General features: G+C 50.6%; 8 annotated features.

Moving 5' to 3' along the window:
* Positions 5,669-6,305: an enhancer, noted in NCBI's record as "NANOG-H3K4me1 hESC enhancer chr22:48709078-48709714 (GRCh37/hg19 assembly coordinates)". NCBI's record gives its function as "activates a minimal SCP1, AML or CMV promoter by ChIP-STARR-seq in primed H9 embryonic stem cells {active_cell/tissue: H9 hESC(primed)}" and the evidence as "EXISTENCE:reporter gene assay evidence [ECO:0000049][PMID:30033119]".
* Positions 6,306-6,943: an enhancer, noted in NCBI's record as "H3K4me1 hESC enhancer chr22:48708440-48709077 (GRCh37/hg19 assembly coordinates)". NCBI's record gives its function as "activates a minimal SCP1, AML or CMV promoter by ChIP-STARR-seq in primed H9 embryonic stem cells {active_cell/tissue: H9 hESC(primed)}" and the evidence as "EXISTENCE:reporter gene assay evidence [ECO:0000049][PMID:30033119]".
* Positions 10,835-11,335: an enhancer, noted in NCBI's record as "H3K4me1 hESC enhancer chr22:48704048-48704548 (GRCh37/hg19 assembly coordinates)". NCBI's record gives its function as "activates a minimal SCP1, AML or CMV promoter by ChIP-STARR-seq in naive H9 embryonic stem cells {active_cell/tissue: H9 hESC(naive)}" and the evidence as "EXISTENCE:reporter gene assay evidence [ECO:0000049][PMID:30033119]".
* Positions 13,183-13,686: an enhancer, noted in NCBI's record as "H3K4me1 hESC enhancer chr22:48701697-48702200 (GRCh37/hg19 assembly coordinates)". NCBI's record gives its function as "activates a minimal SCP1, AML or CMV promoter by ChIP-STARR-seq in naive H9 embryonic stem cells {active_cell/tissue: H9 hESC(naive)}" and the evidence as "EXISTENCE:reporter gene assay evidence [ECO:0000049][PMID:30033119]".
* Positions 13,687-14,190: an enhancer, noted in NCBI's record as "H3K4me1 hESC enhancer chr22:48701193-48701696 (GRCh37/hg19 assembly coordinates)". NCBI's record gives its function as "activates a minimal SCP1, AML or CMV promoter by ChIP-STARR-seq in naive H9 embryonic stem cells {active_cell/tissue: H9 hESC(naive)}" and the evidence as "EXISTENCE:reporter gene assay evidence [ECO:0000049][PMID:30033119]".
* Positions 14,191-14,694: an enhancer, noted in NCBI's record as "H3K4me1 hESC enhancer chr22:48700689-48701192 (GRCh37/hg19 assembly coordinates)". NCBI's record gives its function as "activates a minimal SCP1, AML or CMV promoter by ChIP-STARR-seq in primed H9 embryonic stem cells {active_cell/tissue: H9 hESC(primed)}" and the evidence as "EXISTENCE:reporter gene assay evidence [ECO:0000049][PMID:30033119]".
* Positions 16,009-16,508: an enhancer, noted in NCBI's record as "H3K4me1 hESC enhancer chr22:48698875-48699374 (GRCh37/hg19 assembly coordinates)". NCBI's record gives its function as "activates a minimal SCP1, AML or CMV promoter by ChIP-STARR-seq in naive and primed H9 embryonic stem cells {active_cell/tissue: H9 hESC(naive and primed)}" and the evidence as "EXISTENCE:reporter gene assay evidence [ECO:0000049][PMID:30033119]".
* Positions 16,509-17,010: an enhancer, noted in NCBI's record as "H3K4me1 hESC enhancer chr22:48698373-48698874 (GRCh37/hg19 assembly coordinates)". NCBI's record gives its function as "activates a minimal SCP1, AML or CMV promoter by ChIP-STARR-seq in naive and primed H9 embryonic stem cells {active_cell/tissue: H9 hESC(naive and primed)}" and the evidence as "EXISTENCE:reporter gene assay evidence [ECO:0000049][PMID:30033119]".

Here is a 26,654-nt window from a genome sequence, read left to right as displayed (position 1 = left end):
GGGTTCTCCTGGCTCCTGCCCATGATGGGAGGAGCTAAGAATGGGGGTTCAGCTTCATGGGTAGCCTGCAGGGGTCAGGACCTCCCTGTCAGGACCCCACATGGGACCCTGCCATGGGAAGGGGTTGGCAGCCAGCACTGCAGACATGAGCCGCCCCGCAGCCCAGGGTAAGGCAGGCCCTGATCTCAGTTGTCCGGCTCTTGGGAAGGCAGCTCTGCTCCCAGGGTTCTGGGGGGCGGTAAAGGTGGCAGGATTCATGGGCCCCCCAGACTTTCCTGGGGGCCCCTTTATTGGGCTGGGTTGGGCTGCGGAGCTCTGTGTGAAGTGCACCAGATTGAACCCAGGTCCCTCTGACTCAGAGCTTGGACGTGGGCCTCCAGGACACTGGCCTCCCATTTGGTGGCCTCACATTCTTGAAGTTAGACCCACTGGCTGGTGGGATGCTGAATGGCTGGAGTGGAGGTGGTTCCTGCAGGAACAGTCTGTGCAGGCAGCGCCAGGCAGTGCAGGAGAGCTGGGCGTGGGCTGCAGAGGGCCACTTTGCAGCTGGGGCTTGTACAGAGGAGAGAAGGGTTGAGACAGCCGGGGGTACGCGGCTCACCTGGCTTTTTTCACAGACGTTGCTGACCCCTGCTCAGTGCCTGGCTGGGGGATGAGCATGAAGAGGACAGGGAGGATCTGGGGGCTCAGGCAGAGTGCAGGAAGCTCTGGTGCAGTGGGAGGAGGGAGGGAGGAGCAGAGCCTGGCGTGGGGCTGCTGGGGGAGACATCTAGGCTGACCTGGGGCCAGAGAGGCCTTCTTGGGACCAGGGGTGCCCGGGCTAAAAGAGCAAACAAGGGCCCCACATGACCCTGCAACCCCACTGCTGGGTGTATACCCACAGAAGTGAGAACGGGCTGGAAGAGTCGTGTGTGCACCCCTGTTCACAGCAGCCTTATCCACAACAGCCAAGATGTAGAGGCCACCCAGGTGTCCCATGACAGATGGATGGACGGATGAACACTGCTGTCTCTCCATACGATGGGAAATCACCCAGCCTTAAGAAGGGTGCTGCATGGCACAGCATGGCTGAACCCTGAGGACATTGTGCTAAGTGGAATAAGGCAGTCAAGAAGGACAAATCCTGTGATTTCCCCTTAGAGGAGGTAGCTAGAATAGTCAGTCCACAGGGATGGAAAGTGGAAAGGTGGGTGCCGAGGGCTGGGGAGGGCGTGGGGAGTGAGAGTTTAATGGGGACAGTTTCATTTTGGGAAGATGAAACGTTCTGGAGGCGGAGGGTGGTGATGGCACACAGTAACGTGACCATAATTCATGCCACTGAACTGTCCTCTTCAAATGCTTAGGATATTACATTTTACATTACATGTATTTTACCACAGTTTAAAAAAGGAAGAATGAAGTGACCTGGGAGGAAAGGCTAAAGCAACTGTGGCTGTTTCATTTAAAATGAAGGAAGGAAGGAAGGAACAGATGAATGAATGAATGAAAAGCAAGCAAAGCAAGCCTTTAGGGGAAGCAAGAGTGGTCCTCATTTCATTGGAATGTCGTGTGTCTTGAGAGAGTCCAGAACATGGGTCAGGACCAAGGGGTGGGAGATTCCAAACCCTGGTACCCTCTGGGTATCGGTAGGGCTAGAGAGGTTCTGAGTCCCTGGGCCATGGGGTACAGGCACCAGCCAGGGTACTCCAAGGAGGGGAAGGGGGTCCTTGCCAGGCAGGAGGTTGGCTTAGGTGACCTTCAGGTCCCTTTTGGACCTGGGATGTTCTATGATGTCAAAGAGTTCCCTCATCTTTTGGAGAAGCCAGAGGGGCTCTGGGGAGACAGCTCTGTCCAAGGAACCTGGGGGACTGAATCAGGAAGAGCTGGGCCTGATGGAGCACTTGGGGGTTGTTAGAGAATGGATGCAGAGGGGGCAGCGGCTTCTGGAATGTTCCCACACCTGCCACCTTCTACCCCTGGGCTTTCTTCCTCCTTCTATTCATTGTCACTCGCCTGCCATTTATCTACAATGTCAGCTCTGCTAGGACCAAGTGGGGGCTCCAGACACAGACCACTCAGTCCCAAGGGGGAGGCAGCCCCCAAAGTCAAGGACAACGGCACAGCGAGATCAAGGCAGGGGAGCCATTCTGTTAAACCAATGGGAGAAAAAAAATCAATTTTCCAATACTTTCCCTTCAAGTGATCTCTTGAAGCTGATTCAAAAATAATATTGTCTGACATTCAGAGAGGGCAGCTCACAATTTCCTAAGCACTTTTACTTATCTGTTTTAAGCCTCAGGACAATCTTGCTGGATATATCCTCACTCTGCGGAGGAAGAAATGAAAACACCGAGCAGCCGAGCAGCTCATTTGGGGTGCAGAGCATCTTGCAGCAGAAGGGTGTGGAGCTCAAGCAGGGCTGGGTGCCAGAAGGTCTGGAGCACCCGTCCAGGCTGCCCTTCTCAGGGCCCCCAAAGCCCATCAGCCTCCTGCCTGGCTGCCTGCCTTTGTCCTTGGTGCTTGGGACAGGCAGGACCTGCTTTGTCCTGCACCTGCAGCTCAGGGAGCCACCGCTCTGCACACTCTGTTGTGGATCCCTCTTGGTGTTCGACCCCAAGGAGGAAACCCTAGCTGACCTGGTGGAGCCCTTGTACCTGCCTGGGCTGAAGCCCCAGCTGACCTGATGGAGCTCTTGCCCCTGCCCGGGTTGTGCCACCCTCTCTCCCACAGGCTCCAATTTTGTCCTGTCCCAGAGCCAGCCCTCTGGGGAATGGGGTTACTACCATGACCCACTCGGATTGACTTATGCTGGTGCCTGCTTTGTGTGCTCAGGGGTCCCGGAGCTGAGGCCGGGCTCAGCAGAGTGGAGGGCTGTGGGCGCCCTTGAAGGGTGGGGTCCGTGCACATACTCTGTGCCATCACTGGGCCCGATGGTGTGGTTACATGCTGTGCCGCTGCCCCGCCCTGCCCCAGAGAGAGCCTGCATCATGCTGAAGGCCTAACTTCGAGCCCTTTCCCCCCATATCCCTGCCCCAACCAGAGCTGCCTGCACCTGCTTCCTTTCTCAGTGGTTACAGCCTCCTTCTCAGACTTTGGCCTCCATCCTTCCAGCTCTTCAAGGAGCATCCCTCGGGTCTGATGTGGAGCAGGCCCACTGTGCCTTCCACAGACCAATCTGAGCGGCCTTGACCCAGGGTCCCCCAAGCCACCCGGCAGCTGCAGTGCTGTAAGGCCACAGCTAGGGTGGCAGCTCAGCCTTCCAGGGCATCTGTCAGATGGGTGGCTACAGAGCTGGTGCCCAGGAGCTGCCGAGCCTATCACACCTCCCTGTGGCCTGTCCTTGCAGCCGGGCTGGGCATGAGCCCTCCTTGTCCTGTCTGACTGACTGGTGGCAAAATCCCACCTTGGACTATCAGTCATCTCTGATTAAAGTTGGATCCAGGCTCCTGCAGAGAGCAGGTCCAGCCTGAAGCTCTGGGCCTGTCCCTCCTGGACCCCAGTTCAGCATGTCTGTCTGCCAAGGTTGCTACTGATGGGCTGGATGCCAGCCTCCCTGATGCTGCCATGGAGGAGGGCATGGGCCTGCCAAGACCCCAGGACCACCTCCTGGGTACCCTGCACAGCCTGCCCCCCGATGATCGGGCCACCTGTTCCGCTTCCTCTTCCAAGAGGTGCGTGTCAACCATTTGTTCCACAGTGTGCAGAGGGAGAGGCTGCCTGCTCTGCCATGTGGACCAGGAGCACAGACAATAGGGAATCTGCCAGAAACAAGGGCTTTTCAGGGCTCGGTGAAGACAGCAGAAGGTGGTATTCATCGGGTCAGAGGCCCCGTTACCCCGGCCCCGTCTGCTCCTGCCAATTAGTCAATGAACTACAACCTGCGGAAAGCTGGCCGCCTCCGGCCATGGGCGCGGGAGCTGGATGTACCGGAAAAAGGAACAAGTCCCAATCAGCCGGGTGGGCATCCTGCCTACTCCAGGCCAACAGACCATTTGCAGAGAGGTCTGTGTGCCTCCCCTGCAGAGCCATGTGCTAGCAGCCAGGCGGCTGGGCGGGGCTTGCATTCACTGTGGCCACCGCTCAGCTAAGACGAGGTGACTGGTGGGCGCACACATGCCAGGGTCCTTGTGCATGAGCGAGGGGATGAGGCTGCGGCTACTGACACAGCTCCTTTCTCTCTCTGGGCTCCAGGGCAGGGAAGTCTACACAAAGGGGAGCACAGGATTGGAGGTGGGAAGGATGTGGCACTCTGCAAAGAGGAAGGGTGGGAGGAGAAACCCCAGATGATCTGTGGACTGAGTGAGTGAAATGGGCAGGGCTATCCTCTTTTGCAGAATTGGGGTTGAGAGAGTGGCCACAGATCATAGGTTTGGAGAGAGCAAGGCTCAGCTCTGATGTGAATGCCATTTCCACAGTCCCCATTCCACAGATGCTTTGGGATCGGCTCTCAGCCACCCACCTGGTTATTTGGTGCTCCAAGGGGCTTTGCAGGGCGGTCTCTGGCAAGTCCCTCCTGGTGTCCCTAGTGGACTCTGCTTTGCTTAACTGAGTCATAAAATAACGTACCCCAGGGAAATAGAAACCCTTGTGCATTGCTGATGGGAATGCTGAACTGTGCAGCTGCTGTGAAGAAAATGATGGAGGTTCCTCAAACAATTGGCCATGGAGTTACCATATGATCCAGCCATTCCAATTTGGGATATACAGTTTAAGAAGTGGAAAACAGTGACTCAAAAATATATTTGTACCCCCATGTTTTCATAGCAGCATTATTCACAACAGCCAAAAAAGTGGAAGCAGTCAAGTATCCACCAGTGCCTGAGTGGATACATGATAGGTGTCCATTTACACGGTGGAATATGATGCAGCTCTGAAAAGGGAGGAAATTCTGACACATTCTACAGAATGCGTGAATCTTGAAGACGTTATGCTGAGTGAAATAAGCCAGGCACAAAAGGACCATGCTGTATGACTGTACTCCTGTGAGGTTCCTAGAAGAGTCAAACCCAGGGAAAGTAGAATGGTGGTTACCAGAGCCCTGGGGAAGGAGGAACGGAGGCATAGTGTTTAAAGGGTATAGAGTTTCAGTTTTGCAAGATGTGAACATTTCTGGAGGTAGTTGATGGTGATGGTTGCACAAAACTGTAACTATACTTCATGTCATTGATCTGTACACTTAACAACTGGTTAAAATGATCGATTATGTATTATGTATATTTTTATCACAATTAAAACAGCAACAACAACATGCATCCCGGGACACCCCAGCCGTGAGTTCAGCTGGGGTTGACGTGGCCACTTCCTGGGCCACTTCATTCATCAGAGCTGGCTTTTGTCCGGGGCTATCTTTGAAGCTAAGCCATTTCTTTCTGTTTCAACTCACATGCACTGCTCAGACCTGGAACTCCTAATAAATGATAAAACAAGCCATCCAACGATACATCTAAACACCATATCTATTACTAAAATTATGCAACTGAGATTTTTATATGTGTAATCCCCTCTCTCTAAAAGTGTGTTTTTATCTGCAATTAGGGAAAAAATGTATTTTTTACACTTAAATAGTTTTCTTAAAAATAACACATTCCCTTTCCTTTTTCACGTGAGCCCAGTGTTTACGCCTTTTAACAGATGGTTTGAATTACTTCCTTCTCCCTTTTTTTTGACACAAACTCCTCCTTTTTTGGAAACCCCCTCCCCCACCAAGAATATGGTCGCTAAAGCCAGAACAGAATCTGGGTCATTGGCCCAACCACAGTCCGAGTCAAAGAGCCAGCTATCTGTAAACTAGACCAAAGTTGTCCTTTCCCACTCAATAAAATTTAAAGTAAAAAAGACGGGATTAACTTGGCAGAAACAGCGTTAGGTGCAGCATGAAAGCTGGAGTCTTTTGGAAGTTTGCAGAGTTAAACATAACAAAAGAGGGCCAATGGTGAACGATCGCTTTGGAGGCACCACCCAAGGCCACAGAGCCGGGGAGAGCAAGGGGGAGTTTAATTAATCAGTCAGCTAAACTGAGAGCCACGTCAGCTTGAGAGACCTCGGGAACCCATCAGGGGAGGCCAAAGGATGCTGTGAGTTATAGGTCACTGGAGAGAAGAGGTTGGAATCTCTGAAGGTCTCCGCGTCAAACTCAGAAATGGTGCACAGAGATAAATAGGGCGTCTTTAATGATGCTGGAAAACAATAATGACCTGCTGTCAGATGGGCCATCAGTTGTGACCAGATGGTGGTTGGAATCCACAAATATGTCATTCTTCCATCTGCTCCCATCCATAGCATCCACTTAGATGGTACCAGGAAGATGGGTTTTCCTCCAGATTTTGTCGTTAGCTTCACATTGAGTTGCTTAGTTTGATTCATGAGCCATTACTGGGCCGTGTGTGGTGAATAGTGGCTGTTCCCAGCCGGGCACGGTGGTGGGCTGCAGCGGGAGGGTGCCCAGCAGATCTTTGGGAGCAAGCTATTGCTGATCCTCACCCCCACCCCCTCCCAGGTGAACTGTACCAGCTTAGAAGGGTCCTGCCCTGGAGCTCCTGTGGCCTCCCTCTCCCAGGACAATGGGCTGGGCTCCATTTGCACTGGCTGGAGAGGACCTCTTCCTGCCCAGAGCTCCTCCCTGGCTGCTAAAGGAACTAAATTCCTCTTGTTTTATCTGTAGAAGAAAACGGTCCAATCATTCATTCATTCTTTCATTCATCTATTTGCTCACCTGTCCATGGAATAGTTCCTAAACCCATTTAATGCAGCAGATCCTGCAATCCACACACTGCTGATGAACTAGGGAACTTTGCAGACACCCTACTCATAGGGAGCTTACAGATTTTCACTTCACATTTGTCTAAGAATCTCATTAGAACTATCCAGCACCTACTGTGTGTGAGACTGTCAGGAACTCTGGGAGTGCTAAGCAGTGAGGCACATGCCATTGCACTCCAGCCTGGGTGACAGAGCAAGACTCTGTCTCAAAATATAAAAAATAAAAATAAAATAGCAGGCTGACCTCAGGCTTCTCCAAGATGCCAGCCAACAGGGCCAGGGGAGTGCACCAGGCACAGCTGATGGAGGCACATTTTATGATCTATGCACTTTGCTGGGCTCACCCTAGTCCCAGCTTTGTGATCAAACTATAGAACAATGTCTACAGTTCTTGCAGGGATATATATTTTTAATTTAAGAAGCATTCTCACACATGAAATAACACAGGGCATCAATCACTCACAGAAATCATCATTCTCAGAAAAACATATAAATACATAATCTGGGAAAATTAATAGGTTAAAAAAATGAAGACCAATATGACACTTAATATCAAGCAGGAAGAACAAAGGTCTTGAATTTGAGGGGGAAGACTATATTTACCAAAAATTTTATACCTAGCTAAATGACCTTTTGGCATACAATCAACCAACATATCTTCTTCAGCCTGCAGGAGCTCAGGAAGTACAGTCTTTTGAGCTTTTACAAAATTGAAACAAACAAAAAATACCTCATGAGTGATTGACAATAAATAACATGGTTGTGGAAAAACTGAAGGCTCTAAGGACATGTGGTGAATATGAGTCCTGTAAAGATTAGGTATAAATGAAAACCACTGTGGGAACTATTGCTCAGAACAAAATGTACCTTCATAAACCTTGACAATGCGAACACAGAAGTGATATAATGAAGAAAGTCTGGAAATCTGGAAAGAGGGTGGGATCAGGCAGCAAGAATATTAAATTCATCTTCCACTGAGGGGGCTCATTGGATACAAAAAATAAAACATCAACCTAATTTTTAATGTAATAATTGTCCTTAGTTTCAGAAAGAACTTTTAGAATGATATTGTTGGTGATCAAGAAACAGTTAAAGTACAGCAATTCCTCTAATTTCACTTCACTTAAAAAAATCATTTTGTTAAATGGGACTAAAATTAAATTAAAGTTTTTGCTGCAAGCATCACGTATGACACCATCTTATTTTATACTTGTCCAACCTGTGACCTGTAGGCTGTATGTGGCCCAGGATGGCTTTGAATGCAGCCCAACACAAATTCTTAAACTTTCTTAAAACATTATGAGATCTTTTTTGTGATTTTTTTTCTTTAGCTCATCAGCTATCGTCATTGTTTGTGTATTTTATGTGTGGCCCAAGACAATTCTTCTTGTTCTAATGTGGCCCAGTGAAGCCAAAATATTAGACACCCCTGTTTTACACAATCATTTATATTATTTATCTCTCTGTGTGTCCATCTCTATCTCCACTTCTCTCTCTCTCCCTCTCTCTCTGTCTCTCTATCAAGAAAGATGTAGAATCTTTTTTTTTACATAATGATATTATTTCTGGGTGGTGGGAGTTGGGGGTGATTTGTTTTCTTCTTTGCACTTTTGGAATAGCTTTATTCTTTATCATAAACATACATTGTATTTGCAAAAACAGTAATATGCATAGAGGAAGGGCTGGTTACCCCCTTCACCCCAGAGCATCTCGAGAAATCGCCCGTGGGCTGCAATTGTGTGGCATCTCGCCTCCTACCCAGCTCATGGGAGACAGATGATTGTGGTCAAGTGTTTCCTTGTCTTCACCTCTTCGAGCTTCAAGGATGAGGTGTGACATTGGGCCCCAGCCACGTGTTCCCCTGGCCTCCCTAGCTGCCTTGGCCATCTTTCTGCACAGCTTGCACTCACCTGTCCTGACTGCAGACCCTGGTCAGTGGCTTCCAGACCTCAGAGTGAAGCAGGGAGGTCAGAGAAGCTGACAGGGTCCTGGGTAGGCGTGGATTAAAGGAAAGACATGCACAGGGCTCCGAGCAGGTGTGGATTAAGAGGAGAGACGTGGACAAGGCCCCGGGTAGGTGTGGATTAAGAGGGGAGACACGCCCCCTCCTCTAGACCCTGCAGCACTTCGTAAGCCTTTGTAAGTGTTGTGTTTATTTCCAGTTTTCTGGCTGTTCATCTGGATGTCTAGACCCTAGACTGCTGGCTGCCCGAGGCCAGGAGCTGGTTCTGTCCCTTTTGTATTTTTGACAGTTTTACATCCTGCCCAAAGCCTACAGCAGGGTGCGTGCTCAGTGTGCGATCTGGATCCCAGAGTGAATGAATGGGTTTAATTTGGTTACGCCTGCCAGGTACAGGCCCCCCACTTCCCTCTCCAATATGCAATACTCCTGAGTCCAGTACCCTCATCAGAAACCTCAGCCCCCCACGGTTAAATTGCTTTCATTTCCTTTTATGAACTTGAGCAGGTTTCAATGACCTGAATTTCCACGACAAGTTCAAAAGGCACTTTTCTGGGGGAAACCTTTTCTCCCCACAATTTTTCTTCCTCTCCCGGGTTAAAGAAAACATCAGGAAAATGACAACTTGAAAGGTATTTACTACTTTGAACAGCTCAGGCTGCTTTTGGAAAGAGGGGAAATGGGAGCTTCCAGAGATCTTGCTCCCAGTAAAACTGCTGAAGCAAGGTCAAACATTTCCACGAGGAGATAAAATGTTAATAAATGGTGGCCATTGTCCCACATTTGTGAATTTATGCTGTACATCTATATGGCATCGTTCTCTCCTTGGTTAAATTCAGTGAGTAATTTCTGACTGTATTCACTGCCGGGGGATATATTTCTTTAGAGTTAAATATCACTGGCTGTGCATTTTGATATGAGAAATGCGGGCTGCAATTTATAACCGACAAGATCATAAGTGAATCGTGGCTGTACCGAGAAGCAGGGCACAGGAAATGGGTGCCGGCTGCAGAGTGTTTATTTTAGAATTCATTGGAGGGGAAACATCATTTCCAATTCCCTGTCAAGTTCTAATCTAGGCTTGCTCATTTCACCCGCAGACATAGGTCCAGGGCCTCAGGGCTCTGTGATGTGCACCAAGCTGCCCCTCACCCTGACTCTCCACCCACCCACCCTGCTGGGTGCCTTCAGGGCCAGGGGGAGGCCGTGGGTCTGATTGGACGGAGGAGAGGTGGTCATGCCACATCTTGATGAGGGCCACCCCAGACAGTGGTAAGGCGGAGGAAGGAGGCCTGGGAGAACCACGGGAGTCCCCCAGTGGCAGAGCCGCTGCAAGCTGCCGGCACCATCCCACCCACCATCCACCCTCGGCCTGGGCGTCGGTCGCCTTGACATGGTGGTTTTGGCGTGGCCCCAGCTCAGGAGGGAACCAAAGGCTCCTCCAGGCCTTCCTGAGGACGGAGTCCCAGCACCACATGGCCTGAAGCTGAAATGTCAGAAATGTCAGAGGTGCCACGGAGAGGGGCCACAGAGAGGGGCTACAGAGAGGTGCCACGGAGAGGTGCCATGGAGAGGGGCTACAGAGAGGTGCCACGGAGGGGGCCACAGAGAGGGGCTACAGAAAGGTGCCACGGAGAGGTGCCACGGAGAGGGGCAGGATGCCTTCAGTGTGGATTCCTGGGCTGGGGTGGACTCCACATGCCAGCTGCAGAGGCTGACCAGGCTCTGGAAGGGGCATAGGAACCGAGTTTGCAGGATGGCTCCTCAGCCCTAGGGCCGTCCCTCCCCCCACCATCCTTATCCCTCCTCCCTCCCCTCTGCTCCCTTTCCCTCTCTCACACCTGGAGTGGGAGCTGGGAGATACCAGTCCCTGCTGTCAGCTCGGCTCATAGTCCTCAGGCATGAGGCGTGCTGGGTGCCCTTCCTTCGCCTGCCCTGCGTTCCTTTGCTCTGAGTCTGCGTTCAGGAGCTTGGGACGCTCTGCAAAAGCAGAAGCTCATCCAGGAATGGAAGCTTGCCCTCTTGTGAGGCAGGAGCACACGGACCTATGGTGAAGCCATGGCCCAAGGGTCTGAGCGGTGCTCCCCGGGCTGGCCTGCTGGAATGCAGGGCTTTGAAGCCACCTTGCTGCTACCTGCCCGCTGGGTGACTCTGGGCAGCTGTCCTAACCTCTCTGAGCCTCAGTAATCCTTAATTATAACATGAGAATGATACTCCCAATCTCGGAGGCTTACTGTGGAAAGCAGGCCCCTGGCAGATGGTCTGGGACAAAAATGGTGCTTAGTGAGTACCAGTCCCCGCCCCATGGGCCTCAGTTTACCCATCCCTGAAACGGGCATGTTCTCGCCCCTTGGGGCTGCAGATATGTGGTTGTCAGCTGCCTGGTCTCTGTCCCCTGATCTTCAGGGATATTCTCAGCTGCTGACCTCACTGGACTCCAGGCATATCCAGCCAGCACCAGCTACTCACACCAGCATGACGAAGGGTCCTCAAGACTCGCAGTAAATGCTGCTGCAGTGTCTGCGGGAGAGCTGAGGGCTGGATCTCACTGCTACTTCTTAGACGTGTGACCTGGGTCCAGTTCCTTAGCCTCCCTGGGCTAACCTTCACCCAGGGCCTGGCACAGATTTCATACTCACAGCATAAGATCTGCTTTAATAGTCTAACTGTTCCTATCACAATGAGGGTCACAACCCCCAGGGCGCCAGGCAGGGCAGTCAACACTTGACCGTTAGCCCCTGTGCACTCAGCGTCCTGTGGCACAGGCTGTCTGAGTTAGCGGCACTGAGATACCATATGGTTCTAAGCACGCCCCGATGTGTACTGTTTGAAAATAGCACAATTCTGAAGCCTACTGACAAATTGTATGGGTTTTTCTCTCTTGCTAATTTATGGAAAAATAAGCTCTTAACCATTTATCCTCAAAAGGGCTGCCTGAGCCATGGCTGTAAAAAGCCCCCGGAAGGACAGCTTCTCTTTAAGTGACTTTCTAGAAGAGGCAGCCACCCTGGGAAGAGGGTTTTCTCCCTTTGAAAGCATAGGAGAGCCCTCCTTTTTCCTGGCCTGGCTGGAAGTATCTCAGAACCTGTGGGCAGAGGTTGTGTGATGCCCTGGCCCACCCATTCCCGAATCTTGCTCCTCTTGGGCCCAGTACCCAGTGCCCTGTGCCTTTTGGGGCCTGGATGCAGCCCTCTGCGTTTGTGATGTCTCCTATGTTGTCACTTAAAACATTAGCTCCCAGTATCTTGCCGGCAGTCCCTCCTCAGCCCTGGGTGGGTCAGGAGAAAGCACAGAGGCTGCACGTCCTGAATCTAAACGCCAGCACTGTCAGCCAGGCTGGCCCTGGGATGCTTGGAATTGGGTGAGGCCAGCCTGCCCCACAGGAAGGCTGGCCTCTCTGCGGTGGGCATCCAGCCCTGGCATTGCTCTGGCTCTCAGCTCATGCCCGCCGCTCCGGTACGATGCAGGTGACAAGGCAGAAAGCGAGGGCCACGTCTCGTTCCGCTCTGCATTCCTGCAGCACCACAGACGTGGCGGAGCCATGCTGGAGGGGTTATAACTGTGGCCCTTGGCTCACCCCCATCCTCCTGGTGGGGCCCAGCACAGATGCCATGACCTTTGCACTTTCCCGGCATCTGCACACTGGGCTCACGTGATCATGAGTGACAGGGCAGGGGACCAGGTGAGTGCCCTGAGACAGAGCAGGAGGAAGGCCCTGAAAGTGAGGTCCCCTGAGACATGAAATCCAGGCTCCACGGCCCCAGGAGGCAGCAGAGTGGGGCTGCCATTCCCATCTGAGGCAGCAGAGCTGAGACCCAGGGACCTTATGGTCTTCCAGACAGTGGAAGGTCCCCCAGAGGGTGAGCTGCACAGCGGGGCCTGCAGCCTGTCTTGAGGCACCTGGCATAGCCACAGGGAATGGCTCCAGCAAGCTGATGTCCAGAGGCGGAAGAAGGGCAGACCACAGGGTGGCGGGATCGGGGATCCAGGGAGCTCTGGGGCATCTGGAAGGACAGACCACAGGGTGGCGGGATCAGGGTTCCAGGGAGCTCTGGGGCATCTGGAAGGACAGAACAGTTTCTGTGCTCCAGGTCCTGCATGTGTCTTCCAGGGACAGGAAGCCTAGATCACCCCTGCTCATTTCCTCATTTGACAGATAGGAGAGGCCAGAGTGGCCAAGTCACTTGTCTATGGGTGGCCCAGCAAGCAGAGAGTGGGGCCAGGTGGGCAGGCCCCCGCTACAGCCCCTCTCACTTCCTACAGGCCCCCTCACGTCCTGCAACAGTGGGGCAGGTGGGCAGGCCCCCCTTACAACGCCTCTCTCACCTCCCACACCAGGCCTTCTTCCTTCACGGTGAGCCAACCTGGCTGAGATGTCAAGACACATGGGAGAAGGGCTCATGGCTAATCTGCCTCGTTGGGCCCAGTCTCCCCATGTGAAAACTGGAGACACGATGCCTCCCTCCCAGTCCTGCTGGGAAAATTCCATGGGAGGGCGGGAGCAGGTGGTCACCTCCAGCTGCTCTGACTCCTAGAAGGGGCTGATGGAAGGGAAGTGAGGCTGACCTGGGCACCTCCTAGGATGCACGTCCCCTGGACACTTGCCCCTTTGCTCCACCAAAGTCGCACCTTCTTGCTACTTTCTGAGGGAGAATTTAGGACAGGCCACTTTGAAGGGAAGGAAAACTTCGAAGACCTCCGGCCTCCTCTGTGTACCCCATCCCCATCCACATCTCCCCTGTCTGCCCCACCCCATCCACATCTCCCCTGTCCACCCCGTCCACACCTCCCCTGTCCACCCCGTCCCATCCACATCTCACCTGTCCACACCGTCCACACCTCCCCTGTCCACACCTCCTCTGTCCACCCTATATGCACCTCCTCTGTGCACCCGCATGCGGCTCCTGCCTCCCCTCCTCTGGACCCTTGAGGAGGAGACACGGCGGCGTCCCCCTGGGTCCCTGGGCGTCACTGTGCCTCTGCTTTTCTAAGCCAGGGTGTGGCCTCCTCACAGGGAGCCAGCCAGTGTGCCTGGAACTTTCTCTGATCCCTGATATGAGGATGAAGATTGCAGGGCTCTCTGCTGGAGGAATCCAGGAGAAGGCATGGACGGCCGGAGCCCGTCTCTTGGGCCTGACTCTGTTGTGTGGGTCCGGGGTTGGGAATGTATCTGCAACAGAGACACCTCCATTTTGTGTCTGGGCACGGGATGGTTCTGCAGCCTTGGTCTCTCCCCATGTTTCCCCCAGGCCCCTGTCTCTCCAGCCTGCCAGCCCAGGTACACCTGGGTGGAGAGCCTGAAAGAAAATGGTTTCCTTCCCTCCGCAGAGCTGGACACTGTCCTCCCCCGTTGCTGTTGGAGGCCACCCACATGGGAACTTGGGAGCTGCCAGAGGCTCAGCAAGGTGGCACCGTCCCTCAGAGGAGGCAGCAACCTTGCTTCCTGGAAATAGCCAGGGGTCCAGACCTGGGCAGTCAGTGGTCTTGGTCCCTCAGGTGTCCCCGCTCTTTCTTCCTTTGTTCAGCCTCCTCCACATCCCAGACTTTGGGTTCATCTGCTACGCATGCACACACGTAGCTCCCCGCAGCCCAGACTCAGCCTCTCTCACCTCTGAACTCAGACTTCCTACAGCCCCAAGAAAGGGCTTCCTGGCACCTCTCAGGTGAACCCCCAAGGTGGACATGTGGATTTTATCAGCTAATTCTCCTCTTGGGTCTGTTCTGCCTCTGGGTTTAGGTGTGGGTGGCCCCTGCCCCTGGCCCCAGCAGTGGGCGCAGGACCGACCCACCAGAGGACTCCTGGCTGTGGACATGCCGCAAGGTCTGGGGCAGACCTTGTTGACGTCCTTGACAACCCACCCCCTGCTGCATCTCCGTCAGGGCTGCTAGGCTGTCGGGGTGGGGGTTGGTGGGGAGCCTGGAGCCTCTGCTGCCATCCCAGAGAATGAATCCTGGGCAGGGGAGAGGCAAGCAGAGAGATGCGGAGAGCAAGGCAAAAAACACCGTGACCTCGGGGCCAGCTGCATTCACTGCAGCTCCCCGCAGAAGGGCTCCCAGGCAGGGTGAGAGGAGCGGCCCTGTGTTCTCTACAGGCACGTCCCTGGCACTTGTTCAGCCAAGAGCCCCTCATGGTGGGACACGAGCAGAGTGCCTGTTGTGTGTCAGGGAAGCAGGCTGTGGCTGTGCATGATTTTGGTGTCACCTTTTGATGGGGGAAGGGGGATGGAGGGAGCATTTGGACTTGGTTCAACGTGCACCCAAGTCCCACCCCAGGTAGACCTTTACCCCAGCGTAGAGGGAGAGGACAGGGATGGAGGAGAGGAGGCTTAAGGATGAGGCTGAGATGTCAGCACTGGGGCACGGTACAAAGCTGAAATTCTATTTTGCTCTTTGGTTCCTTCTGTGAGTGCTTTCATGTGCAAGTATCTATGTTAAAACCCCACAGAATACCCTGAGGTGCCGTGCTGGGGTGAGGGGGTCACGGAGGAAGGGAAAGGCCCCATGAGCTGTCCAGCATTCCAGCCAGTGTGTGACAGAATGATCAGGGCTCCACAGCCTGCCCTGTGCACTCTGGGCCTGGTGCAAGGTCGGCTGGAGGTGGAAGACCTCAGGGCACACAGCCCTTCCCATCCAGCCAAGGCTCTGTTCTTCCAACAAGGTTTTGCATTTTTAGTTAAAGGATGTTTAAGAAATACACGATAAAGATGAGGAGCACACACCCCACGCATTGCTTTTTGGGGCTAACGTACATACACATTCTGTCACGCTTGCTCCAGGCTCCTGGTTTTAAAAATATAAACAGGCTGGGTACGGTGCCTGTAATCCCACCACTTTGGGAGGCCAAGGCAGGAGGATCACTTGAGCCCAGGAAGGCGAGACCAGCCTGGGCAACATAGCAAAACCTTGTCTCTACACAAAATACAAAAATTGGTCAGGTATGTGGTGCATTCCTGTAGTGCCAGCTACCTGGGGAGCTGAGGCAGGAGGATTGCTTGAGCCCAGGAAGCTGAGACCAGCCTGGGCAACATGGCACAACCTTGTCTCTATACAAAATACAAAAATTGTTCGGGTATTTTCGTGCATTCCTGTAGGGCCAGCTGCCTGGGGAGCTGAGGCAGGAGGATTGCTTAAGCCTGGGAAATCAAGGCTGCAGAGAGCCATGATCACACCACTGCCCTCCAGCCTGGGTGACAGAGTGAGACCTTGTCTCAAAAAATTAATTACTTAATTAAGCATAAAAATATAAACAAGCAGAAGTGGAGAGCCATGCCCGGCCACCCCCGTCCCCTCCCTGCCTCATGGAGCCTTTGCCTCCCTCTGTGTTGTGCTTTTCTGGGTGGGTCCCGGGTGCATTTCTGTAATGTGGGCTTGGCACGGTTGCCTGGGTGGCGTCACATGTCCATGTGCATGTCTAGCTTTATTCTTGGAAAAAAAAATTCATATTCTGCTTTTGAGGGTCACCCTCCCAGTGATGCTCATTCCCCTTTGCTACCTTTTCTCACTCAGCTCGCCAAGCTGGACCTTGCTTCTTCCCCTGCGGAGAGGCTCCTGCAAGGCCCATGTAGAAAGGGCGGCGTCCAGGCAGACAGGAGCAGCCAGCAAATGTAGGCGGAGGCTGGCGTGTGCCTGGGTGGGGATGCCATGGAATCCAGAGACTTTTTCTTTCCGGATCCCGAGAGGGCTGAAGAGTGGCTCTGTGGCCTCCGCAGGCTCTAACTGGGTGTGGGCCTCCCAGGACACTGCACTGTCTGCTCCAAGGCCTGAAGGAGATGCACCTCGGCGGGTGCTGCCAATCTGCTCACCTCCCTGGATGGTCTGGCCATCTTATTCCAGTCTGCCGACATCCTGCTCCCCCTGCAACATCTCAGCCAAGTCGCATGTCTCCTCTGACGTCATTCTTGGAGGCCTGGCCCACCACTGTCTGCTCCTGTCTCTGGGGTGGACAGAGGAGAGAGATAGACCGGCCCACATCCCTCCCCACTCAGCAGCCCACAGCCTGGCCTGGTCATGGGGAAAGATGCTTCACCAGCCGGGGTGGAGGCAGCTCGGGCTGGCATGAGGGGACCCTCCGGGTTCTCTGGATTGACAGAGGTGTGTGGCAGACTTCAGCCCTGAGGAGACTCTGGTTGGGCCTGTGGGCACCTTCCGTGCTTCCTGCAGGGTTCTTCAGACACGCTCCCACCCAACCATCACAATTTGATTTCTAGCTCCTGGAAGGAAGGGCCTTGGGCATTGCAAAATCACCCAGCATAGTTTCTAAGCCTGGCACATACAAGGGATGCAAATATGTTGTGATTGGTCTGAAATTGCACCGCAAACACAAGGCACTAAAAACATTTTGCCCAAGGTGCCACTGTATTAGGCCATTCTTGCCCTGCTATAAAGCAATACATGAGACTGGGTAATTTGTAAGGAAAGAGGTTTAATTGGCTCATGGTTCTGCAGGCTGTACAGGAAGCATCCTGCTGGCCTCTGATTCCGGGGAGGCCTTGGAAGGCTCACAATCATGGTGGAAGGCAAAGAAAGAGGGAGCGGGGACATCACATGTCAGAAACAAGAGCTGGGGGAGAAAAGCCACACACTGTAAACAAGCAGATCTCGTGAAAACCCACTAACTACTAGAAGGACAGTTACAAGCCATTCATGAGAGGTCCACCCCCATGACCAAAACACCTTCCAGCAGGCCCCACCTCCAACACTGGGGATCACATCTCAGCATGTGATCTGGAGGGGACGGCCATCCAAACCATACATATCAGCCCCGTCTGCCCAGGATGCCTGTGGTCCACCAGAGGTTTCAGGTCAGCACTTGTAATGTCATCCACGGCAGCATGGGCCACCGAGCTTCAGTCCTAGCCTCCTAGAAGACCCGGGAGGCTTTCAGGCTCCCGTCACCAATTCTACAAAGATAGAGGATGGCAGGAGGAAGGATGCCGCACATTGGGTGATCCCAAGAAGATAATGGTTTGCCCAACACCTGGGAGGGCTGTAGTAGCCCCAAAGAGTGGTGATTAGAACAGTGTCTGGGGAAGGTGATCTTCTTAGGCTTAAACAGACAAAAGAAATGCAGAGAGCTGGAGCGACAGAGCCAACTGCCTCCCTGAGGCTCTGAGGCTGTTTGGCAGTGCCAAGCGGGTGGTGTGTTTGTTCTAGAAGGCGTTGGAGGATCCTGGCACGTCCTCAGGGCTCGATCTCAGCTGCAATCAGCTCTCAGAGAGAGGGGGATAAAGTGACTTGAAGTGGATTTACCTGAAGAGGAGGGGTGCTTGCTTCTCCCGGGGGCCCCAGGCCTGAAGGGTTCTCACAAGACTGAAGAGGAGGCCGGAGTGGCTCTGAGCACTCAGCTCCGCAGCCCTGCCTATGCAGCCCAGCCTTCTCCCCGTGCGGCTGCCTGGCCCTGGAGGACTTCGGTGAGCCTGTCCTGGAATGACTTCACTTTCTCAGAGGTGTATTTTTCCCTCCAATTGTGAAAGTGTTAACATGCAAGTTACAGAAAACAGAAAAAAGTTAAAAGGAAATAATACCTAATTTAGTTACTCAAGCAAAACAACTATTTCTACTTTTTTGGGGTATAGTCTTCCTTCTAGACTTTTTCTTTGGTCTTAAAAAATAAAAGAGCCAACTGCACGCCGTGCGCCAGGCCTCCCTCTGATTTCCTTGCGTGGGGCGCCTTCCTCACTTGGTGTCTTCCTCACTCCTAGGACAACCCTGGGGCAGATGCTGCTATTTCATGCACCACCCTGGGGGCTCTGGGAGGCTACCTGGCTCCCCAAATCCCCAGCAAGTCAGGGGTGCAGCTGAGACAGCATTGCAGGGACCCGACTCCTGAGATGTCCCCCAAACGGCTGCACCATGTGGTCCCAGCCCAGCATTGCCAACGTCATAAACACCTGTATTTGTCGTTACAATAATACTCTGAATATAAAGATTTTGTGTTCTGTTTCGTCATTTATTTCGATGTGAGCACAACTTTTTACAAAGGTGTTTTTGATGTGGATGCAGCCGAAGGCAGCCAGTGATTCCTCCATGGCGGGCTATTTCGGGTCTTTTTAAATTCTCACTGTCATCAGTAATTCTGTGGTACAGATCTTGGGCGTCCACCCTGCAGCATTTCATGTTATTTATCAGACGTGGAATTTGTTGGTCCAATGACAACCGCAGGGCTGGACAGTGGGTTTATCCTGGGTGCATCACGGCACAATGTAGCTGGCGATGTGTGTGTCTGTGCGTGTCTGCATGTGTGTCTGCACGTGTGTCTGCGCGTGTGTCTGCGCATGTGTCTGCATGTGGGTGTGTGTGCAACCACAGACAATAAGCTCAGAAATAAGCATGTGAACAAGATCAGCCTTGTGTGTGTGAGAACAGTGGGAATACAAAAGCTGGGCACTGTGGTCGGTGGCTGAGGGGAATGGGGATCTACAATGGGGCCCGGAAGGCGTCCTTTAAGCTAAAGACCCCTCACTCTAGCAAATACATCCCACTTTCCAAATCACCTGCTACAGGGACCCAGAGCAGAGACTGGGGATGGGCGCTGCTTCCCTGGTGCCCCAGTGGCTGCCCCAGGCCTGGCACCCCATGAGGGTGCTCAGTGCTGCTTTTCCAAGCAGGTGAATGAAGAACTGACCTTGACCACAGACTTCCAAGGTGCTACTGGCTCTGGGCTGAGCCCAACAGACCGCAGATGCCCTGTGTGGGCCCTCATGGGGCCCTTCTGCATTGCTGGGGAGGAATCCTGAAGGAGGAAGAGAGGCAGCCGGGCAAAGACACAGAGGCATCAGCCTGCACCGGGGATGGTCGCCGGAGCCAATCTCAGGACAGGGAGGGATTGCCTGGGAGGGAGAGCCTGCCTCCTCATCCACCCACGGACGCCACCCACAAGGGCTCTGGGCGGCCTGCTGGAGGCCCCGTCTGCCGGATGGCAGTGAGCCTGCACCAAGGCGGGCTATCTGCGGCTCTCAGCCAGGCTCAAATGCAGGCTGGCGGGTGGGAGCCGGTCGTGTTGCTGTGCCGAGGGGGTCCTGGCTTGAGGCTGGCGCTGCCAGGTGCTTCTTTCGGGTAGGGAGGCTCCACACTTTGGTTTTGCTTGTCGCCTACAGGTTCATCCTGGAACGTCAGTGTGTATCAGCCATGATGCAGGGCTGACCAGGTACTGCAGACCCACACATCGTGGGGCCAGAGGGGCTGCCTCCTGCCCTGGGGGATGTGCCGCCTGTGAACGCTAACAGAGTCCCTCAGCCTCCCCTGGGACATGCCGGGTGTGGTGGGCTCCACAGTTTAGCTGCTGATGTTGGAAAACGCTCCCTGAACCTCCCAACCACTGGCGCTGGCTCTGCCCCGAGCCTGGGACACGGAGCCTGGGGGGACACTTCCACACCAAATCCATGTGTGGCCCCTGTGGGAGCCCAGGATACCTCAGCAATGCACCAGGAGCCCTTTGTTGTCCCATACATCCCATCTCCATTTCCAACATGGATCCCAGCGCGGGCTTTGCTGGCCACACCCTCAGGTCCTCCATGGCTTCTGTTCCTTCCTGCCTGGCTGTGACCTGGGGGTCAGCAACTAGGTTCATGGCACGGAGGGTGCAGTGGGGCCCGTAGAGGCCGGCACAGGCTTCCAGGGTTGCAGCTCCGCCACTGGCCAGGTGGAGCCTTCACTGCTGCTGGCCTGGGGCCTCTCTCTTCTCATTGTCAAAACCATCTCGCCCCAAGCCGCACCTGGCTCACTGTCTCCTGAATTTCAGTGACTCTGGCTGTAAACCTGGGCATTTTTCCAGACACATCCTCCTCTTTACCTGCTTCCCAACATCCAGTTATCTGCCGTGTCTTGTTGATTTCCTAAATGAATCTAAAAGCCTCTGTCTTCCCTTTGTCCTCACTCTCACCACTCCAGTCAAAACCACCATGCGGTGTTCCCAGAACCTCTGCAGATAGAGACAAACCAGCTTTTCTTGCTGCTGAATTTCCTTCTATGACTTCCCCTTGTTCTTAGATTAAAGGCCGGCCCTTCAAACATGGCCTTCAGGCCCCACGTGGCCTCATGATCCGCCCTACCTGCTTCTCCTGCTGACGGGTACCCTCTCCCAGTCCATCCCCCCGCCTGGCCTCTCTATCTTCTTCTCCTTCTTCTTCTTCTTCCTTTTTTTTTTTTCTCACTCTGTCACCCAGGCTGGAGTGCAATGGCACGATCTCAGCTCACTACAACCTCTGCTTCCCAGGCTCAAGCAATTCTCCTGCCTCAGCCCCCTGAGTAGCTGGGATTACAGGCATGCGCCACCAAGCCCGGCTAATTTTTGTAATTTTAGTAGAGACGGGGTTTCACCATGTTGGCCGGGCTGGTCTTGAACTCCTGATCTCATGTGATCTGCCTGCCTCGACCTCCCAAAGTTCTGGGATTACAGGCATGAGCCGCCACGCCTGGCTAATTTTTGTATTTTTAGTAGAGACAGGGTTTCACCATGTTGACCAGGCTGGTCTTGAACTCCTGACCTCATGTGATCCACCCACCTCAGCCTCCCAAAGTGCTGGGATTACAGGCGTGAGCCACCAGCTCGGCCAACTTTCACTTCCGAAGGCTGCGCTGCCTGCCTCAGGGCCTTGGCACATACACCTTCCCATCCCCTATTCAACTCTCAGAGCTCATTGCTATTTAATGCCCTTCTCTCCCCTGCCCCACCCTCCCTGGCCTCTGGACTCCCACTAATCCAAATACAATCAACTCAACTTAAACCAATTGTCTGCCTTCAGAAGCATGCAATTTGCATAAAAAGAATGCAAGCCTTTCGCCACCAGACGGTCTTCAGTGTAGCTCCATCCCAGCTATCTCAACACCAAACAAAATTTCAGGCTTAGCCTAAGCTACATGTGTGAGAAAGAACAATGTTCCCACATTTCAGAAGCTCAGAGACTAGAAAAAGTAAGAAAACATTATTTATGTATTGCAATCACTACAACAAATAAAAAAAGACATATTGTCTCCTGTATTAGTCCATTTTCACACTGCTATAAAGAACTGCCAGCTGGGCGCAGTGGCTCACGCCTGTAATCCCAGCACTTTGGGAGGCCGAGGTGGGTGGATCACGAGGTCAGGAGTTCGAGATCAGCCTGACCAACATGGTGAAACCCCATCTATACTAAAAATACAAAAATTAGCTGGGTGCGGTGGCGTGCACTTGTAATCTCAGCTACTTGGGAGGCTGGGGCAGGAGAATCGCTTGAACCCAGGAGGAGAGGTTGCAGTGAGTCGAGATTGTGCCATTGCACTCCAGCCTGGGTGACAGAGTGAGACTTTGTCGTGGGAAAAAAAAAAAAAGAACTGCTGACAAATGAGTAATTGACTCACAGCTCAGCTTGGCTGGGGAGGCCCCAGGAAACTTGCAATCATGACAGAAAGCAAAGGAGAAGCAGGCACCTTCTTCACTAGGCGGCAGGAAGGAGAAGTGTCGAGTGAAGGGGAAAGAGCCCCTTATGAAACCATCAGATCTGGTGAGAACTCACTATCATGAGAACAGCATGGGGGAACCGCCCCCAGGATTCAGTTCCCTCCACCTGGTCTCTCCTTTGACCTGTGGGGATCACGGGAATCACAATTCAGGATGAGATTTGGGTGGGGCCACGAAGCCTAACCATATCATCTCCTTACTTATTTACTCAATTACCTAATATTTAATGAATCCCTGCTGAGTACCCAGTAATTTGCCACATGCTGGGAAATTCAAAGTGGAATAAAGACAGACCAAAGAGTCTGCTTCTGGTTATGGCGGGCCAACTCAATTGATCCATCAATCCCTCTGAAGACAGGGACAACAGCTGTGTACAATAGAAACCACAAATTATTAACAGGTTCAGAAAGTCAACAAGGTGGTGAGGAACTTTGAAAAAGGAATATAATTCATGCCTGGAGTAAGACCCACTTCACTGTGGCCTATCATTCATTTTACACACTGCTGGATGCTTTTCACTAATATCTTGTTAGGTTTATTTGCATCTGTGCTTTTCAGTGAGATTTGTGTATAATTTTCCTTTCTCTAACGTCTTTAACTGGTTTGCTATTAGTGTAATGCTGACTTTGTAGAATGAGTTTGGAAGTGTTTTGTCTGCTTTTAGTTTCTGGCAGAAATGTGAAGAATTGGTATAATTTCTTCCTTAAAAGGTTGATAGGATTCACCAGTGAAACATCTGGGCCTGAGGCTTCGTTTTCTGGAAGGCTATTAATGACTGATTCAATTTCATTTATGGATATAAAGCCATTCAAGCTCTCTGTCTCTCCATGTGTGAATTTTGATAGTTTGTAGACTTAAGGATTTGGTCCACTGTATTTAAGTTACCACATTTGCAGGTGTGGAATCAGTTCTTCATCATATTCCATTTTAACGCTCACAGGACCCTGCAGAGATAGAGCTCTCCCGTTTCTGATATTAGTAATTTGCATCTTCTCCCTTATTTTCTTGGTTGGACTAGCTAGAGGTTTTCAACTTGATTGATTTTTTTTAAAAATCTATTTTTGGTTTCATTGATTTTCTCTGTTGTTTTCTAATTTTTAAAATGCATTGATTTCTGCTGTATTTTTTGTTATTTATTCATTTTCTGCTTGCTCTAGGCTTCCGTTACTTTTCTTTCTCTGGCTTCCTAAGGATGAAGAATAGATGATTGACTGTAGATCTTTCTTCTTTCTAATATGTACATGCATTCAATGCTATAAATTTCCCTCTACATACCACTTGCACTGCATCCCACAAATTTGATTGTTATATTTTTATAAAATAAACTTTAAGACATTAGAACTGTTTCAGGTTTAAAAGAAAATTGCAAAGATACAGAGTTCTCATATATCCCACATCATATTTCTCGTATTATTAACATTTTACACTGATGTGGCACATTTATTATAATAAACGAATCAATATAGATACAGTATTATTATCTAAAATCCATACCTTATTCAGATTTTCGAGTTGTTCACGGACATTCCTTTTCTCTTCCAGGATCCCACATTACTTTTAGTCATCATGTTGCCTTGGGCTGTCTTGGCTCTGCCAGTTTTTTAGGTTTTCCTTGTTTTTGATGACCCTGTTTTGGAAGAATACTGATCAGGACTTTTATAGAATGCCTCTTTGATATGTTGCATTTTAATTTCATTTAGTTCATTTAAACTTTTCTTGAGCCTTCTTCTTTGACCCCTGTGCTATTTTTTTGTTTTTTTTGAGATGGACTTTCACTCTTATTTCCCAGGCTGGAGTGCGATGGTGCCATCTTAGCTCACTGCAACCTCCACCTCCCGGGTTCAAGCGATTCTCCTGCCTCAGCCTCCCAAGTAGCAGAGATTATAGGCATGTGCCACCACACCTGGCTAATTTTTGTATTTTGGGTAGAGATGGGGTTTCACCATGTTGGCCAGGCTGGTCTCGAACTCCTGACCTCAGTTGATCCACCAGCCTCGGCTTCCCAAAGTGCTGGGGATTACAGGCACGAGCCACCAAGCCCGACCGACCCCTGTGCTATTTAAAAGTGTGTTGTTGAATCTGCACATGGCTTGGGATTTTCCAGATATTTTCCTGCTATTTACTTCTAGTTTAATTTTATTGTTAGTTGAGAACACGGTCTATCTGATTTCTATGTTTTAAAAAATTTAAAGGTATGTTTATGGCCCAGAATGTGGTCTATCTTGGTGAATGTTTCATCTGAACTCGAGAAGAAAGTGTATTCTGTTATTGTGTGCAACTTTCTGCAAATGCCAATTAAATCAAGTTGGATGATTGAGGCGATCAGTGCAACCACGCCCCTCTGAATGCTGCATCTGCCTGTCAGCAGCAGAAGCGTGTCGAAGGTTCCAGCTGTCACAGTGGATTTGTCTATTTCTCTCTTCAGTTCTATCACTTTCTGCCTTGAGTATTTTGACTGTCTCTCGCTGGGTACATACACATTAAGGATTGTTATATATTTTAGAGGGTCAACCCTTTGTCGTTATGTAATGCCCCTTTTTCTCCCGTATCATTTTTCTTGTTCTGAAGTCTGCTATGTCTGAAATTAATATAATTACTCAAGCTTTCTTTTGATTGGTGCTAGTTTGGTACATTTTTCTCCATCCTTTTACTTTTGATCTATTCTAGTCTTTATACTTAAAATGGGATTTCTTGTAGACAATACATACAGTACGTTCTCACTTAGCGCTGTGGACAGGTTCTTAGAAATTGTGACTTTAAGTGAAAGGACATATAATGAAACCAATTCTACCACAGGAGAATTGGTACAAACAAGAGTTTTGTTGCTACGGCGTATTTCTGTTCACAAAAACACCAGACTTCTAAATAAAATCCCCAAACACTAATACTAAACATTGAAATTATTGTGAGCTATACATACACTTAAGAAAGATCAATAAAAACAAATAAGATATTTATTTACCCGATTATTCCAGTTCAAGGTCATGGGTGGCTGGAGCCTGCCTGGCAGTTCTGGGCACATGTGGAACCATGCCTGGACAGGATACCCTCCCATTTCAGAGCATACCCACACCCCCCTCCACACTCACACAATTCAGACATGCAAATTAACTGAATACCCACATCTTTAGGATGTGGGAGAAAACTGGAATAACTGGAGAAAGCCCAGGCAGACATGGGGAGAACACGTAAGTTCCACACAGACAGTAGCTCCATTTGGGAATCAATTTTTTTCTCATCAACATTGTAATGAAACAATGTTGAACAAAGTGACATTATTTGAGGACCTGCTGAAGTTGGATTTTTTTTTGCAATCCATTATGAAACTGTCTTTGAATTGCTGTATTTGGAATGTTCCCATTTAAAGTGATTATTGAAAGTAGAATTTAGTTCCTTTTAACTTTTCCTGAGCCTTCCTCTTTGACCCATGTGCTATGTAGAAATGTGTTGCATAGTTGTGTTGTATAGTTGTGTTGCATAATTGTGTTGCATAGTTGTGTTGTATAGTTGTGGTGTGTAGTTGTGTTGCATAGTTGCATTGTATAGTTGTGTTGCATAGTTGTGTTGCATAGATGTGTTGCGTAGTTGTGTTGTGTAGTTGTGTTGTGTAGTTGTGTCACATAGTTGTGTTAGCTGTGTTGCATAGTTGTGTTAGTTGTGTTGCATAGTTGTGTTGTGTAGTTGTGTTGTGTAGTTGTGTTGCATAGTTGTGTTAGTTGTGTTGCATAGTTGTGTTGCGTAGTTGTATTGTGTAGTTATGTTGTGTAGTTGTGTTGTATAGTTGTGTTGCATAGTTGTATTGCGTAGTTGTGTTGTATAGTTGGATTAATACCTGACATGTTTGTAATTATTTCTACTTATTACATTTATTCTTTTTTCTTTGTGTTTCCCTTCTTTTCCTGTTTTTTTTTTTTCCTGGTTTTAACTGAGCATTTTATATAACTTCATCTCCTTTCTTAGCATATTATATTATTTTTAGTGATTGTGCTGGAGTTTCATTGTTGTGCATTGTTGAATATTTAAAATCTGACTTCGAATGACACTATACCGTTTCATGTGGTGCGGATATATTCCAAGTTTTTCCTTCCCATCATGTGTGACAATTTATCCATATACTATATTCATCTAATATATTGTTACTATTATCATTTCAATCAAGCAGTTATCTTCAGATCAATTAAGAATAAAAAAAGATTTTACTAACTCTCATTTATTTCTTATGACATCGTTTCTTTTTTTAATGCAGACACAAGTGTCCCACACATATCATTTTCCTTTTCCCTGAAAAACAACTTTGACCCTTTCTTGCGGGGTGGGTCTGATAGTGGTGAATTCCGTTTTCGTTTGTTCCAGAAGGATTTCTCATTCACATTTGAGAGATAAATTGGCTGGATGTAGAGTTCTTAGTTTTTTCTTTCAACACCTAAAAAACTCACTCCACTCCTATCTTGCCTGCGTGGTTTCTGACAAAAAGTTTTCTGTGATTCGTGACTTGTCTCTCCATGATTAAGTTTCCTG

Source organism: Homo sapiens, chromosome 22 (genome assembly GCF_000001405.40).
Source record: "Homo sapiens chromosome 22, GRCh38.p14 Primary Assembly".
Taxonomy (NCBI): domain Eukaryota; kingdom Metazoa; phylum Chordata; class Mammalia; order Primates; family Hominidae; genus Homo; species Homo sapiens.
Note: the sequence above shows the minus strand (reverse complement) of the source record. Positions and strands in the feature narration are given on the sequence as shown.